The sequence below is a fragment of the Homo sapiens genome, chromosome 10, assembly GCF_000001405.40.
Source record: "Homo sapiens chromosome 10, GRCh38.p14 Primary Assembly".
Taxonomy (NCBI): domain Eukaryota; kingdom Metazoa; phylum Chordata; class Mammalia; order Primates; family Hominidae; genus Homo; species Homo sapiens.
In genome coordinates, this window is record NC_000010.11 from 3,086,612 (window position 1) to 3,103,289 (window position 16,678).

At 47.7% G+C, this 16,678-nt stretch overlaps 1 protein-coding gene across 12 annotated transcripts in view, besides 6 other annotated features; it reads left to right on the forward strand.

Moving 5' to 3' along the window:
- The window catches only part of PFKP (phosphofructokinase, platelet), a 69,258-nt gene that overhangs the window by 19,064 nt on the left and 33,516 nt on the right, over positions 1-16,678 (forward strand). For 11 of the 12 annotated variants that reach the window (XM_005252466.5, NM_001323071.2, NM_001410880.1 and 8 more), the window contains 2 exons: positions 12,664-12,741; positions 14,754-14,943. In XM_005252466.5, the coding sequence (XP_005252523.1) occupies positions 12,664-12,741; positions 14,754-14,943 (268 nt within the window). Of the gene's footprint in view, positions 1-12,663; positions 12,742-14,309; positions 14,390-14,753; positions 14,944-16,678 lie in introns of all 12 variants that reach the window. The other variant, NM_001242339.2, reaches the window with a different exon arrangement.
- Positions 4,060-5,259: an enhancer, noted in NCBI's record as "CDK7 strongly-dependent group 2 enhancer chr10:3132863-3134062 (GRCh37/hg19 assembly coordinates)". NCBI's record gives its function as "activates an origin of replication core promoter dependent on BRD2, BRD4, P300/CBP, MED14 and CDK7 cofactors, with strong dependence on CDK7, by STARR-seq in HCT116 cells {active_cell/tissue: HCT116}" and the evidence as "EXISTENCE:reporter gene assay evidence [ECO:0000049][PMID:35650434]".
- Positions 4,740-4,939: an enhancer, noted in NCBI's record as "active region_2906". NCBI's record gives its function as "activates an Ori minimal core promoter by ATAC-STARR-seq in GM12878 lymphoblastoid cells {active_cell/tissue: GM12878}" and the evidence as "EXISTENCE:reporter gene assay evidence [ECO:0000049][PMID:35858748]".
- Positions 5,794-6,591: an enhancer, noted in NCBI's record as "H3K4me1 hESC enhancer chr10:3134597-3135394 (GRCh37/hg19 assembly coordinates)". NCBI's record gives its function as "activates a minimal SCP1, AML or CMV promoter by ChIP-STARR-seq in naive H9 embryonic stem cells {active_cell/tissue: H9 hESC(naive)}" and the evidence as "EXISTENCE:reporter gene assay evidence [ECO:0000049][PMID:30033119]".
- Positions 5,794-6,680: a biological region, named in NCBI's record as "H3K4me1 hESC enhancer GRCh37_chr10:3134597-3135394".
- Positions 6,561-6,680: an enhancer, noted in NCBI's record as "active region_2907". NCBI's record gives its function as "activates an Ori minimal core promoter by ATAC-STARR-seq in GM12878 lymphoblastoid cells {active_cell/tissue: GM12878}" and the evidence as "EXISTENCE:reporter gene assay evidence [ECO:0000049][PMID:35858748]".
- Positions 8,540-9,739: an enhancer, noted in NCBI's record as "CDK7 strongly-dependent group 2 enhancer chr10:3137343-3138542 (GRCh37/hg19 assembly coordinates)". NCBI's record gives its function as "activates an origin of replication core promoter dependent on BRD2, BRD4, P300/CBP, MED14 and CDK7 cofactors, with strong dependence on CDK7, by STARR-seq in HCT116 cells {active_cell/tissue: HCT116}" and the evidence as "EXISTENCE:reporter gene assay evidence [ECO:0000049][PMID:35650434]".

Below are 16,678 nucleotides of genomic sequence, written 5' to 3' on the forward strand. Positions count from 1 at the left end.
AAATGTTGGTAGAAACAAGGCCGAGGGACCCTGCACTAAACCAAGCGCACACTGTGTTTGGTTTGAATGTTGTTAGCTGGGGAGGGGTGGGGAGTGAGGCCGAGGGGAGTGTGAGGGCCTAATCTTGGATGCAGTCCCTGGCCCACTTTAATCTCTCTTGATGTAAGGGTTGTGTTTTTGTGGCGATTGTCGGGTGTCTGATTTTTATTGGTCACTGTGTGCTGTAGTCGCCCGTCTGTTTCCTGGTGGGATTCAGATGTCCTCAGACCTGTGCCTGCTGTCTGTGTGGTATGTACCAGAATTAAGGAGTTGGTATGGAACACACTGGGAGGCCTACCCCAGAGGCCCTGGGCTTTCTCTGATGTTTGTTTGTTTTTGAGACAGAGTCTTGCCCTGTGTCGCCCAGGCTGGAGTGCAGTGGTGTGATCTCAGCTCACTGCAACCTCCACCTCCCAGGTTCAAGCGATTCTCCTGCCTCAGCCTCCTGAGTAGCTGGGATTACGTGCCTGGCTAATTTTTGTATTTTTGGTAGAGACGGGGTTTCAACATGTTGGCCAGGCTGGTCTTGAACTGCTGACCTCAAGTGATTCACCTGCCTTGGCCTCCCAAAGTGCTGGGATTACAGGTGTGAGGCACCTCACCTGGCTCAGAGGCCCTGGGCTTTCTTGGGAGGTAAAACCCATATGTTCTCTCTGTCTCAGCTGGGAGGGCTGGGGCTCTGAGGCCCATCCATGTGACTCCATGGCCGCAGGTGCTGTCTGGACGAGGTCTGGACAACCTTGTCTGGCGGGGACAGCGCCTCTTCCTGCCCCTGCCCTCGGTGGGGAAGGAGGGGTTCTGACTCTGAGATCTCATTTCCTTTAGGGAAATTCACGGAATTTCTGCAATTCTTCTGCTGAGATGTGGCCAAAATAAATCCTTGTGTGCAAATGGTGTTTTGGGGGAATTCTAATTTTTATGATAACTTTTATAGTAAGTGGCACCTTCGAAGCTGTCTAGGAGCAGAGCTGAATGGACTGTTTATGAATTTTGGCACAAAGAATGATCAGGCTTTTGGAATTATCTTACTGAGGAAGATAGGAGCAGCCTGGGGATCAGCTCATTTGAGCCCAAATTTCCTCTCTGGCACCCTCCCCACCTGCCCCAGAAGGTGGGAAATCCTAGTGAACGGGTCCATTTCTTCACCTTCCTCCAGTGTAGCCCAGGCACCTACCTCTGGGCGTCTTGGGAACATAAATTCTCATGGACCCTCAGACCGCCAGGACTTTGTATGAGTGGTGGGTTCTATAACCAGCTGTAGCAATAAATGTTGAATCCATTTATGGTATCATCATTTTGCTGTTACAGATATAAAAATCCTGTATCTTTCATTCTTTTTTTTTTTTTTTTTTTTTTACATTATACTTTAAGTTCTAGGGTACATGTGCACAACGTGCAGGTTTGTTACCTATGTATACATGTGCCATGTTGGTTTGCTGCACCCATTAACTCGTCATTTACATTAGGTATATCTCCTAATGCTATCCCTCCCCCCTCCCCCCACCCCACAACAGGCCCCGGTGTGTGATGTTCCCCTTCCTGTGTCCATGTGTTCTCATTGTTCAATTCCCACCTATGAGTGAGAACATGTGGTGTTTGGTTTTTTGTCCTTGCGATAGTTTGCTGAGAATAATGGTTTCCAGCTTCATCCATGTCCCTACAAAGGACATGAACTCATCCTTTTTTAATGGCTGCATGGTATTCCATGGTGTATATGTGCCACATTTTCTTAATCCAGTCTATCACTGATGGGCATTTGGGGTGGTTCCAAGTCTTTAATTCTAAGATAGAAAACACACTAAAATCTGTGAGTGTTTTCCTAACTGGGCAGCAAAGCCCCGGCTGACCTGGAGCGCGTTGCCTGGGGGTGATCCCGTCACCCAGCCGAGGTGACGGCTCCCACCTCTCTTTGCAGGGGTGGGTTTGATGCCGTGCACTCCCAAGGGCCCAGAGTATGGGTGCAGTAACACTCACTGCTTTTTAAAACATTTTTTATTTTTAATTATTATGGATACATAATAGTTGTACCTATTTATGGGGTACATGTGATTTTTTTAAAATTTATTTTATTGAAGTAAAATATGCATATATCATTTACCATCTTTACTATTTGTGGGCATAGAGTTCAGAAATATAGTCTTCTTCCCTTTTATCCTTGCTTTTCCCCACCCCTCCCCTTCCATACCTCTGATAATTGCAGTTCTCGTCTCTATGAGATCAACTCTGTTAGCTCCCACGTATGAGTGAGAACAGGCAATGTTTCTCTTTTTATGCCTGGCTTATTTCTTATTTCTTTTTCCATACAGAGTTTTGCTCTGTTGCCCAGGCTGGAGTGCAATGGCCCAGTCTTCGCTCACTGCAACCTCTGCCTCCCGGGTTCAAGCGATTCTCCTGCCTCAGCCTCCTGAGTAGCTGGGATTACAGGCACCCACCACCACGCCTGGCTAAATTTTTTTATTTTTAGTAGAGATGGGGTTTCACCATGTTGGCCAGGCTGGTCTCAAACTCCTGACCTCAGGTGATCCTGCCCTCCTGGGCCTCCCAAAGTGCCGGGATTACAAGCATGAACCACCACGCCCATATGCCTGGCTTATTTCACTTAACAGTAAAGCACTTTCATCCCCATTGCCACAAATGATGGGGTTTTCTCCTTTATGGGTGAACGGTGTTGTGTTGTGGGCGTGCACCACGTTTTCTTTGTCCATTTATCCGCTGACGGGCGCTGATTCCACACTGGGCTGTTGTGATGGGGAGTGAATGTAGGAGTGCGGAGGTCTCTTTCTGCCGATTCCCTTTCTCGGGGTATATGCCCAGCAGTGGGGCTGCTGGCTTGTGGGGGAGTTCTATGCATGTCATAGTCTCATACAAGCATGCAATGCATCATGATAAAATCAGGGTAAGTAGCATATCCATCACCTCAAGAACAATCATCTCTTTGTGTTAGGAACACTCCAATTTTACTCTTTTAGTTATTTTGAAATATTATTTTGAATATATATTATGTATATATTATTATACATTATGTATAATATGAATTATATATGTATTATACATATCGTATACAATGTTATACATTATGTATAACATTATTATATATTATTAAACATTATTATACATTATTAACTGTAGTCGCTCCATAGTATCACTCATCCCTGGATTTTATTCCTTCTATCTCAAACTGTTTTTTACCCATTAACCATCCTTCTTTACACCCCTGCTTCCTTCTACTTTTCCCAGCCTCTGGTAACCATCATTCTGTTCTCTGTCTCCACGAGATCAATCCTAACTCTGTCTTCATGAGATCAATTTTTTATTTAAGCTTAAATGTATGAGTAAGAGATTGCAGTATTTGTCTTTCTGTGCCTGGCTTATTTCACCTAATTTCTGCCTGTTCCATCCATGTTGCTCAGAATGACAGGATTCATTCTTTTTTATTGGCTGAATAATATTCCATTGTGTATCAAGATGTGGAATCAGTCTAAGTGGCCATCAGTGGGTGCGTGGATAAAATGTGGCGTATATACGCAATGGAATATTTTTAAGCCATTAGAAAACCTGCTTTTTAAAATCCCAAGTCTTCTGAGTCCTGGCCTGCCTCTCAGACCTGGGTTTTGGGTGAGCCATCGTGGGCCTGCAGGACGTACTGCAGTGACTGTGGATGCATAAATCAACCTTTCATTTCTGTGTGCTCATCTGTGCAGTAGAAATGGTGTTTGCCCTCCTGTCTCCCTGGTAGAAAGGACTTGGAAAAGTCTGAGACTAACGGGGCAGAGGAGCTGTTTGACTGCTTTTCAGGGATGAGACGCGCATGCCTTTGACTCCATGGGTGTGTGGCCAGGTAGGGAAACGGGGTCTGCACCTGAACACATCTATTCACAGATGGCTCTGCACTGAAGAGGCTCAGCCCCCTCCCCGGCCTGGTCTCTGCGTCATACCCACAGGCTGGGCTTCTCTCTGAGTGTCAGGGCGATGGCATCTGGGGTGGGCAATTCTTGGTGGGCGGTCCTTTGACTCTCAGGATGCGGAGCAGCACCCCTGTGTCCACCTACCCCATAGTCATGACAGTCAAAGATGTCCTTACAGTATCTCCAACATCGGCGAACGTCCTATGGGGGGAAAATCACTCTTTTGGGGGACCGCTGTTCTAGACCTATTTGGGCTCAAATTGAGGGGATATTATGTTTTATTTTTTTAAGGATGACTCAGTAATTTATCCAACAGATTTTTTTCACCTATACTCTAGTTTCTAACCTAGAGCTCTCTGGGTTACCAACAGACCAGGACAGTTAAACAGGTTACTATTAATTAAAGGGGTTTGTTTTTTCCTTCAGTAGTGCATGTGTGAAGAAAGTATTAACCTGGGAACAGTGGCGTTTCTGCTGAAAGCCTGGCCTTCATCGAGGGACCTCTGCTGTCTGGCCGCTGCTTGAGCTCCTATAAACCTGGGCCAAGCCTACGTGTGAAGCATGCCAAGCCTTGGGCTGCATTCCAGGGAGACTCGGGGAGGGTTTGCCAGTTAACCCATTCCTTTCTACCTGGTGAACCAATTGTTGCTTCTTTCTTTTTTCTCTTAAGCTAAGGTTTTTCCTTAGAAGCCTACAAATGGCTTTAGCTTCTTGGAGATGATGATACTAAGTATATCAGATGCTTTGACCCAAAGGCCATGCCCAGGGTAAACTACCCTGGCTCTGGTGGGTCCAAACCAAGCTGGGGCGAGTCAGTTGGTTAATCCAGGGCTGCCACTGTGTCTGCAGGAAACAGTCGGCTCCTTGCATTTGGTTTCATTCATGAATTTCATATCCTGTTGTTGAATATTCTTCTGCAGATTTCAGAAATTGTTCATATTATTATAGCTCTTCAAATATGACTCACTTAAGATTCTTGCCGAGCACCGTGGCTCATACTTGTAGTCCCAGTACTTTGGGAGGCTGAGGCGGATGGATCCTTTGAGGTCAGGAGTTAAAGACCAGCGCGGCCAACATGACGAAACTCCGTCTCTACTAAGAACACAACAGGTAGCTGGGCGTGGTGTAATCCTTGGAAGGCTGAGGCTTGAACTCAGGAGGTGGAGGTTGCAGTGAACCTAGATTGCGCCACTGCATTCCAGCCTGGGTGACAGAGCGAGACTGTGTCAAAAAAGAAAAAGAAAAAAGTCTTTTATCTTAATTTTTTGTTTGTTTTAAAGTTTGGTTCTGCTCTAGACAGCTGTTTGTAAACAATATCAGAGCTGTCTTTGTCATAGTCCACACCCTAAAGAAAGGCTAGGAATAATTCTGATCATTTTATCGCTAGTTTTTTCCATGATTAAAAATAACACATTCAAAAGGTGTCAGATAAGTGATGCCTTTTTATGTTGAAAGGATAAAGGGTGTTGGTACAGCATCAGCATCCAGCCTCTGGTCTTCCCAGATGTGCTGCCATGGAGCCTGTGCCACCTGACCCCCGCCACCGGCCCCCAAGCTTAGCTCAGGTGCCCGAGGGTCTCCATCTCCCCATGGCCCCCGGTCAGCAGCCCTGTCCCTGCACCCAGACTGGCCAACCCTTCTGAGCTTGAAATATCAGCATGTGATCTTAGCTTCCCTTGTTTCAGCCCTGAGCATTACAGCTTGACTTACTATACCAATAAACAAACCATTAACTTATCAATGAATTGATTGGCATCATGCTTCCCTTCTTTAGTTGGTCTCGTGGAGGTAGAGAGGAGGATGTAGATAGCAGAGGCTGGGAAGGGGGTGTGGACAGGAGGGGATGCAGAGAGGTGGATGGGTGCAAACATATGCTTAGATAGGAGTAGGTTCCAGTGTTGATAGCGGAGTAGGCTGGCTGTGTTAGCAACAGCGTATTATATTAATGTATTTCAGAGCAGCTGGGGGAGAGGACTGGAAATGTTCTGAATGGGTTGAAGTTAAAAATACCCAGGGTGACAGACACCCCAGTACCCTAATTTGGTCATTACAGGTTCTGTGCATGCAACAGATACTCACATGTACCCCACAAATATGTAAAATTATATGTGTCAATAAAATTGAAAAAATATGGGGGAAAAAAACCTTTCCCTTCCTGATAGAAACCCTTCATTCTTCATTAGCCATAGGAAATATTTCTTTTGGGTTAAAATGAAGCTCCTGCTTTTACAATTTTTAAAGTGAGAAATCTCACACTTGTGACCCAAAATAAACACCTTTTCCCCAGAAGTGCTGGTGCTCCCCTGTCTGAGGAAAGGGGTGTGGGGGACCTCTCCTAATCTGGAGGATGCCTGAGCTGCTGGGATGTGTAGATGGGGGTGGCCACGGAAGCCTGAGCTCCTGGGATGTGTGGATGGGGGTAGGGGGGTGGCCATGGAAGCCTGAGCTCCTGCTCCTGGGATGTGTGGAAGGGGGTGGCCACAGAAGCCTGAACTCCTGGGATGTGTGGATGGGGGTGACCACGGAAGCCTGAGCTCCCGCTCCTGGGATGTGTGGAAGGGGCTGGCCGTGGAAACTAGTTGGCAAGACAAAGAGCAGGTGACAGCATTGGCCCTGACTTCTGGGACTGTGTCTGATTTTTTTTTTTTTAAATCTCTGTCTCACCCCTCCCATCCCTGACTGTCACCCCCACCTTCCCCCAACAGTGTTGAAAGACCAAGCAAGGTTGTCCACATCCCGTTCAGTCACATCTCTTTGATGTTTTAAACATAACTATTTCTGCCCATTAACTTCCTTGAAGTGAAAACTACTCAACCACTCCACTTCTGTCTAAAAATAAGTGATGCTTGAGCACAGCACTGTGCAGTTTCTTACGTGTAGCTGTTCCCGACCTGACTCTACAGGGTCTTTACCAGAGCCCATGCCTTCCACTAACACGCGTGCGTGCTCACCGAGCTGGCTGACTCCTAGAAGACCAGTTGAGGTGGCCTGGTTCTGCTCTGCACTCCCTGCCTATCGTTGGAACATTGTCCAACAAAATTGACACATCCAGGGTGACGATAACCACAGGAACAAGCATTATCTTTTTTTTTTTTTTTTTTTTTTTGAGACAGAGTCTTGCTCTGTCACCCAGGCTGGAGTGCAGTGGCGCAATCTCAGCTCACTGCAAGCTCCGCCTCCCAGGTTCACGCCATTCTCCCGCCTCAGCCTCCCGAGCAGCTGGGACTACAGGCTCCCGCCACCACACCCGGCTAATTTTTTGTATTTTTAGTAGAGGTGGGGTTTCACCGTGTTAGCCAGGATGGTCTCCATCTCCTGACCTTGTGATCCGCCCGCCTTGGCCTCCCAAAGTGCTGGGATTACAGGCGTGAGCCACCGCATCTGTCGTAGCATTATCTTTTATTACATGTTTATATGCCAGCCAGGTCCCATGCTGAATTCTTCATGTATGATCTGCCTTCATCCCACCACCATTTACACCATTGCCTGTGGCTTCAGACAATCTAGTTTCAGTGAACATTTCAAACTGCAGAAGAGCACCATCTCCCTTCACCACCACCTCCCCACCACTGTGGTCAGCTGAATGAGCCTCAAGGTGGGGTTTGCTGTAAGGTCACTGCCAGGCCAGTGCTTGGGACCCTCTCTCTACAGGGGAGGAAGGGCGACCGGCCTCGCTCCTGCTGGGGCTGTTGGTTGTACAACTTACCGGAATTGTGCACTCTTAGCTTTGGCTTAAAGAAATCTGTGATGCCAGAGGGCTAAATACATCATGCTGTTGCATTATTGGTCTTCCAAAGAAGCAAGTGCAGGACCACATGATGGTGTGTCGTGTGCTAACCTATTTTAGAATTTTACAGTTGACTGAGTCTCCCAAGAAGAAATCCTGAGGCTGCTCTATAGAAATTTTCTATCAAGTAATGAAATCAGTGAGGGTGCTTTGCTGGGGTGATTGGTAGGGTCTCTGGACAAGAGCGTTCCTTCAGAGTGTTGGTGGGGAGGTGAGCAGGGCTTGGGATGTGTGTTGGTGTGGGGCTGTTTAATCTCAGGCTCTGCCTCTGAATTTCCTAGAGACAGGATAAAGCCACGATTCCTGGCCTTTGAAAACCATTGACATAGTGAAATTCCTGCCGCCTCTCTTTCTCGCACACCTAGTTTGGAACGCTGGTGTTTCCCAAGTCTAAGCCTAGAGAGCCGTTCAGAGCTGACCTCTGCATGCATGCTCTGAATTCTAAAAGTGAAATGCTTTAATTTATTAAGGAATGTTGTAGCTTTAGGTTCTGTGGGGGAGGGAAAAGGATTAAACTAGGGAAAGCTTGATTCTGTAGGAAACAAAAAAAATAGTATTTACTCAGAAGCAGCAAAGCCCCTACATCTCTGGATGCAGTAACTATGTCTGCAGGAAGCTGGTGATAACACTATCTGGAAGGCACTTTTAAAGTCTGTTATCTCTAGGAGCTTGTTTTATTCTGGTAGTTGGAATGTTCACCATTTGGAGTTAGTTGAGTGAAGAATTCAGGAAATCAGATTGGAAAAAAGCATTATCCAGTTGAGAAGACACATGGACCCATGCAACAAGCATTCTGAAAGAAAAAGCCTACTGCTGCAACACAACGGTATAATTTCCCTTTGTCTGTAACTTTAAAAAAAAAAACTTACATATGAGACGTCCGAGAAAGCCACCCATAGGTGAACTACGCGCATAGGTGAACTAGCTTACTCCATTTATGATGGATTCGGCGATTGCCTAAAAATTCTAGTCAAAACCACCTCTACATATAGAATGATCTCCTACATGGTTAGAAGGCTGGTTATTTTGACACAGCTCAAAACAATTTCGAATAAGTTGAAATGACTTCAGAGCCTGTGGCATGTTCTTAGATGTGATCGAATGACTCAACGTAAAAAATTCTGTCCGACGATGGATCCGATACAGCCAACGAGGAGCTCTAAGGTTCATCTTGTGAGTCAGAGTCAACAAGACAGAGAATGTTACTTTGGCCAAAAAACTGAGATAAGGTTAAAGGTTTTATGCTCTGTTTTTCCTATGTGAGTCATAAAACTGGCTTGGAAGGCAAATTCCAAAAGGGTGTTTTAGGAAACGTCTGGGCTTTGGCTGTAGTAAGATAAATATTCAGCCTTCTAAGAAGACTTCAAAAGAGAAAACTCATCTGAATTTCTACGTTGTAGTACGTTTGGGCAAAATGAGTCTTCCTAATTTAGTAATATCTTCCTTGTTGGTGAAAGACGGCTTAGAACTGCGGCTGGTAGTTGCTTTTCACATGTTCCATGGGCGTCGTGACTTTGCAAATTAAAGAATGAGTCATTTCCTAGCAACTTAGCTCACGCATGCACTAGACAGGGAGCATTGGAGGTGGCACTCAGAAAGCCCTCCCTTTCTATTTTTTAATGGCTTTCTTTGCCACATGCATCTATGCAACACAAAATAATGAAATTACTTTCAGAGAACATTTTACTTTTCAAAATGTTGTGGTTTGCAGAGCAGTTTTCTTACTACTCCAGAAGCAAGAGGATTCGTTAACATGTTTGATTAAATCCGTATTTAAATTCTGTGAACTCATGCAGGGAAAGGAAATTGTATGGTTCCCACTATGGCATATTAACTAGTAAAATGCTGGGTGGCGGTTGACTTGGAAGCAGCGTCCGGGATAGCGCGTGCTCCAGGAATACTCTGAAAGCTGATGCCGTTAGGGGTGCATGGTTGACTCCTGGGCCTGAGACGGCCTCAGGATGCTGCAGCGGCCTTGGCATCCTCTTCAGCAGGGTGGCGGCCGGAACTGGCACCTTCCCCCCGGTCTCTTTATTTACCAAAAAACTGCATGCACAGAAATGACCGCAACAGCTCTGGGTGTGGGAATGTAGGAACTGTCTGTTTCAGTTTTGCCGGAGCCCCAGGTTTACGGCCGCTCTACATCCCAGTCCTCTCAGGGAGGTCCCGGTTTCTGCTGCAGTTCAGGCCCCATCATGGGTCATCTTTTCTCTCCTCCTGAGATGTGGGCTTGGAGGATGGGAGGTCGTGCCTCTAAGAAGGGTCCGTTTCACGGTGGCCCAGGCTACATGCCTGCTTCCTTGTTTCCTTGCCCCCCCGAGCTTCATGGAAGTCAATCTGGAAAGTCAGGATCACTGCAGATGGCAGTTTGTTCAGTGTTGCTCCCAGACCTGAAGAATGGAGCGCTCTGTTGTGCTTGCAGAATGAAGCATAATTCTTAGCAGAAACCTGGGAGGCCGGGTGCGGCGGCTCATGCCTGTAATCCCAGCACTTTGGGAGTCCGAGGCGGGCGGATCACGAGGTCAGGAGATCGAGACCATCCTGGCTAACACGGTGAAACCCCGTCTCTACTAAAAATACAAAAAATTAGCCGGGCGTGGTGGCGGGTGCCTGTAGTCCCAGCTACTAAGGAGGCTGAGGTGGGAGAATGGCAGGAACCCGGGAGGCGGAGCTTGCAATGAGCCAAGATCACGCCACTGCACTCCAGCCTGGGTGACACAGCGAGACTCCGTCTCAAAAAAACAAAAAACAAAAAAACCTGGGAGTTTGGGGTGGTAGAGATCACTGAAACTGCAACCCCAAGGCTAGGTTATCTCTTTATTTATGTATCCACCCACCCGCCTACCTACCTATTGTACTTACAATATTCTGAGGATTATGGCCTCCAAGAGTCATTCATGGCTTTGCACATGACCGTCTGTTACCAGTGAGTCCTTGTGTGGACAGAGCATCCGCAGCAGGACAGAACATAAACGGTGCCTCCCAGGGTGCCCTGTGCAGAGGCGAGGTCTGCATCCGACCTCACACTTGCTCACCCTCGCCCTCCGGGGGACGGCTACACTGGGCTCATCTGCACTGCAAGGGAAATCTGTTTTCAGAGCAAGGGGAGACAATAATAATAATAATAATCCCTAGAGTGAGACTGGGCTGTGTTTAGAAGATGTTCTGCTGTTTTGCCATGGAGGTAGGGGGCCTGGTGATGGGCAGTCCCTGTACCAGCCTGTGAGCCAGGGCCTGGGTGCCTGGGGGGTCTCGGGAGGTGCAGACGGGGCTGCCAGCGCTGAAATGAACCAGCTCTGTTTTGGGTTCTGTTCCATTCCAGACTGTTTTCTCCTTTCTTGTTTATTACATGTATGACACTAAATTATAAACACACATGTGGCCAGGCATGGTGGCTCACGCCTGTAATCCCAGCACTTTGGGAGGCCCAGGCAGGCAGATCACTTGAGGTCAAGAGTTGGAAACCAGCCTGGCCAACATGGTGAAACCCTGTCACTACTTTAAAACAAAAACAAAATTAGCCAGATGTGGTAGTGTGTTCCTGTAATCCCAAGTACTCTGGAGGCTGAGGCAGGAGAATTGCTTGAACCTGGGAGATGTAAGTTGCAGTGAGCCGAGATCGTGCCACTGCACTCCAGCCTGGGCAACAGAGCAAGACTCTGTCTCAAAAATAAAATAAAATAAACACACATATATATATAATATTTCTGGTAGAAATTTATAAATATAAGTATACAAATTGGCCAGCTATCAAGGTGCCTGCACTATTGATTAATTTATATATAGAACTCCATAATCTATGAGTCATTTCAATTTTAAAAACCTTTCTTTTTTCTGTCCTCCGGACCTTCACTAAGGTGGGCTTATGGATCCAACAATAATCTATCATGAACTTTTCTAAATCCTTAATAGTTATTCCTTCTTAAGATTAAATGCTGTGGAAAGTGAGTTATGTAGATGAAGTTACCCGTGGGCATTGCTGCATTTCCTGATCTTGTATATTCCGTGGAGAAAAAGATGGGGATGCATTTAGCATTGAAAGGTAATTGTTGGCCAGGCGCGGTGGCTCACGCCTGTAATTCCAGCACTTTGGGAGGCTGAGGCAGGCGGATCATGAGGTCAGGAGTTTGAGACCAGCATGGCCAACAAGGTGAAGCCCCGTCTCTACTAAAAGCTACAAAAATTAGCCAGGTGCAGTGGCAGGCACCTGTAATCCCAGCTGCTCAGGAGGCTGAGGCAGGAGAATCACTTCAACCCGGGAGGCAGGTTGCAGTGAGCCGAGATCGCGCCACTGCACTCCAGCCTGGGTGACAGAGTGAGACTCCGTCTCAAAAAAAAAAAAAAAAAAGGTAATTGTCCTTGGGCTTCTTCTATCAATGTGTCCTCACATATTGATATCTGATTCCCTAATGCAGCACCGTGTCATTAATGGAGGGTAAGGCAGACAATTATTATTCAGCTGTGCTGTTTAATAATATTCAACATACATCCCAAGTGGCGCAGGGTGCCTTGGCAGGCGGAGCCCCTGACAAAATGCTCCCATGTATGTCCCGTGCTCGACAGTGCTGTGTGCCTGTGAGTTTGTGCTGAAGTATGATAAACACGTTGGGTGAAAGTGACCCCTTTCAACCTCTAGCGAAACACGACCCTTTCAACCTCTCGGGAAACGCTGGGCCATAGGAGAATGGCTTGATTCCTCATTGCACTGTGAGGCTGAGTCTAGGCAGACGTTCCCATTACTAGGGACTCAAGGTGAGGACTTTCCCACAATTCACTGCTTTTATCCAGTGCTGGAACTGCCCTGTCTTCTGACCAGTGGATGCTGAGGAACTGACATTCACTGTCATTTTTCCCGTTTTATATAATTTAAGGATCACTTCCCATTTAGTGAAGTTTATCTCATTTTTAAAAGATTCTCCCTTTCTCCCCTAGGGCTACCAGGGCATGGTGGACGGAGGCTCAAACATCGCAGAGGCCGACTGGGAGAGTGTCTCCAGCATCCTGCAAGTGGTAGGTACTGGGCTGCGTCCACAGGGTTCTCTGAGTTAGAGACTCTTTTATGTCTAGTAAATTCCCAGAACACTTGAGCTCAGATCAGTTGCGAAATAGAGATTATGTGGACAGAACAGACTTTGTGAGCAGCTCTTTACTTGTGGTTTGATTTTTAGAAATGCATGTGTTAATCTGTGAGTCACTTTGAGTACTTGTTAATAGAAATAATCCAAATCGGTGCCTCCCCGCTGAAGACGCTCATGGGGCCCACACCTTCGTGCTGGTCCAGGCTCTCTCTGCATTGGGCGCCTCCTGAGCTCCGACACATCAGAAGAGAGGTGGAGGGAATTTTGACAACCACGGAAGTTAGGTGGAGCAACGTTTGCAAAACATCAGGAGAGTGTGGGCTGAATTCACACAGGGGAGCGTTTCCATTCTGCGGTCGTGATTGACGGAGGAAGATAAGATGTGAACGGAGAGTTGAAGTGCGTATGTGTATCAGTGAGTCTGTGTTTCTGTGTGTGGTGTATGTGGTGTGTGAATCTCGGTGTGTGTGTAACTGTGTGAGTCTGGTGTGTGTCTGTATGTAGGTGTGTGAGTCTGAGTGTGTATGTGTGGTGTGCCCGTGTGTATGTGTTAACTGTGTGAATTTCTGGCTAGCGAATGTGTATCTGTGTGTGGGGTGTGTGTATATGTGGTGTCCTTGTATGTGTAGGTGTGTGGTGTGTGTGTGTGTGTGTGTGTGTGTGTGAAAGAGAGTGAGTGAGAGAATGGGAATGGCACCCACTCCTCTGCAGCCCAGTTATCCTGGTTTCGTTCCTGAGTTGCGGCCACCTCGTCTCTTTGGTTGGAGTTTCTGGGTTGCTGGCTCTAGCTCCCATTGTGCTGGCTCTCGTGCTGCCCCCCAGGTTTTTGTCCAGGCAGAGTCCAGAGAGCACCCCTGCCCTGCTCTGCGCCCCCACCCTCACTTGCCTTGGGGGTTGGGTTGTAAATGGTCTCGGTCACACTTGGTGCCAGTGACGTAGGATCGTGTGGAGTGAATTTCAGTTTTTGTAACCTTTTCATAATGTTTTGATAAATTAAATGGTGGTAGGTTTCATGTAAAAATAGGAGCTTTTCTGGGATTTGGAATATTAGTGAGTCTCTGTGTGTGAAAATGAGCTGTGTGCGTGCACCATTGGTGTATCGAAACACGCACTCACGTCACTGCAGGGGTCTCCTGGGAGCTGCCTGCAGACCGAAGGCAGGGAGAGCTTCGCCTCCAGTGCAGAGACAACCCCTGCTGTGCTTATGAGCACCTTGCTTGACAAAGTCAGCACGCGCTTAGGGATCCCGTACGGATGGAGTTTTTTGGTGCATTCATGGTTTTATTTAAAGAAATCTTGCATTTGTGGATCCCACCAACAATTCTTAGTTTTTGGAAAACCAAGTGTGACGAATCATGATCTATGTCCCCTGGAAGTTTGGATGAAAGAATTTAAGATCCTGAAGATATAGCTCTTTAAAAGGGGCAGCGAGTATGTGGTGCAAAAAAAAAAAAAAAAAAAATCCCCCTGGCCCCAGGTTCCTGCTGGTTTTACTTGCAGGTGCTGTAAGGGGTGACTGGAGGGAGAAGCCTGGCTGCTGGTCACACCGCTTCCCTTGTCCTGGCCGGCATGCTCTGGTGGTCAGTGGGCTTGTCTTTGGTTCCACGTGCACCTGGTTGAGCTCGTTGGCCGGTGCTGAGGCGGCTGCTGTGACACCGCAGGCTGGTTCCTGCTCCATGTATTTAACTGCTGGCTGCCGTGTGTCTGGCTCTGCACCCTCCCTGGCTCCTCCTGGGTGTCACGCGCCTGTCTTTGTCCATGGAATGCTGGTCTGGGACTAAAAACAGGAAAATCACAGTCTTTCATAGCTAGTTACTAACTCACAAGATGAAAATGAGAAAAATGTAAATTCTAGCACCCCATGTTTATAGTCGGCCTGTGTGTGCCATCCACCTGGCGCTCTCTCAGACTGAGAGGAGATAAATTAGCTGGTGTCTTTCCCAGGGCGGGACGATCATTGGCAGTGCGCGGTGCCAGGCCTTCCGCACGCGGGAAGGCCGCCTGAAGGCTGCTTGCAACCTGCTGCAGCGCGGCATCACCAACCTGTGTGTGATCGGCGGGGACGGGAGCCTCACCGGGGCCAACCTCTTCCGGAAGGAGTGGAGTGGGCTGCTGGAGGAGCTGGCCAGGAACGGTGAGTGGACACCTGCTCCTCTGTCCTGCGGGTTTTCGCCCTGTTTCAGAGCTTTGGAACCGACAGGTTTCCCTCTTCACTGTGGCAGAAGTACCTCTTCTCACAGATCTTACAGGTCACCATCTCAGGACTTTTTAGGATCTCAAAAAACAACAGCAATGATCGTAAGAATGCTAGTAATTTAACCTTACCATGTGCCAGGCACCCTTCGACCTTTCACACAGATAGCTTTATGGAATCCTCACGACAGCCATCTAAGCCAGGTTTTAGATCATCCCATTTACAGATGAGGAATCAAACGGCCACTCAGCCGTGGGGCGAGCCGGGTCCCCAGCAGCCTGGGACACTAGCATCCGCCTTTCAGCCCTCACACTGTGTCCCTCCAGCTCGCTGGGGTCCTTTAAAACTGAAGTTGGGCCGGGCGCGGTGGCTCACGCCTGTAATCCCAGCACTTTGGGAGGCCGAGGCGGGCGGATCACGAGGTCAGGAGATCGAGACCATCCCGGCTAAAACGGTGAAACCCCGTCTCTACTAAAAATACAAAAAATTAGCCGGGCGTAGTGGCGGGCGCCTGTAGTCCCAGCTACTTGGGAGGCTGAGGCAGGAGAATGGCGTGAACCCGGGAGGCGGAGCTTGCAGTGAGCCGAGGTCCCGCCACTGCACTCCAGCCTGGGCGACAGAGCGAGACTCTGTCTCAAAAAAAAAAAAAAAAAAAAAAACTGAAGTTGCCACAGGACTTTAATTTATTTAGACGATAAATCTCTGCCAATACATCATCCAGTACCAACTTTGGCACTACTTAGGAAAGCGTTTCTGAGAGCCCTGTGTGTATGTGGTTTATTTTTGTTTTGTTTGATTGTTTGATTTTGTTTGTTTTGAGACAGAGTCTTTCTCCATTGCCCAGGCTGGAGTGCAGTGGCACGATCTCGGCTCACTGCAACATCTGCCTCCTGGGTTCAAGCAATTCTCCTGCCTCAGCCTCCCAAGCAGCTGGGATTACAGGCATGCGCCACCACACCCAGCTTTTTTAAAATTTTTTTATTTATTTTTTATTTTTAGTAGAGATAGGGTTTCGCCATGTTGGCCAGGCTGGTCTCGAACTCCTGACCTCAGGTCATCCACCCGCTTCGGCCTCCCAAAGTGTAGTTTTTCTCCCTTGAAGCGGTTATGTAATTTCAGTGCAATATTAAATATGACCAGGGAAGCATATTGTTTAACAGCAACTCGATGAGAGGCGGCATTGAGGCAAAGCAGCTGTCCCCAGGTTTGTGAACATCCTCGTAGGGGATGGAGAAGGCTGCCCGTTGGAAGCAGCCAGGCCTCACGGTTCCCGCTTGTCCACCTCATCCCGTCTGGCACAGCACAGTGAGTGCACAGACCGGGACAGTGGCCACAAGTCCGGGCCCAAGCTTGCCCCTGGCCCTTCAGTGGTTCCGATTCCCTTTATGCAGAACTGCCCAGCCCAGGTCTGTCCTGAGTGCGAGGCAGATGCTCACCCACGATCCAGCTTCCCACAGATGCATGAGAAATCAGTGTGAAGATGGCCTAGTGTCTTAGATTCTTAATTCCGTAATTGTAACGTATCCTGTTCAAAGCCGTGTCATTCTCTGAAGCTGTTGCCAGGAAGTACTGAGATGTTTGTTTACCGATTGCAAATGTGGATCCTTTCTTTTATTTTTCTAATCCACTGCTCTTGTCTAAGTGCCAGGTGACAGAGTCCATTGTGTGTAACTGC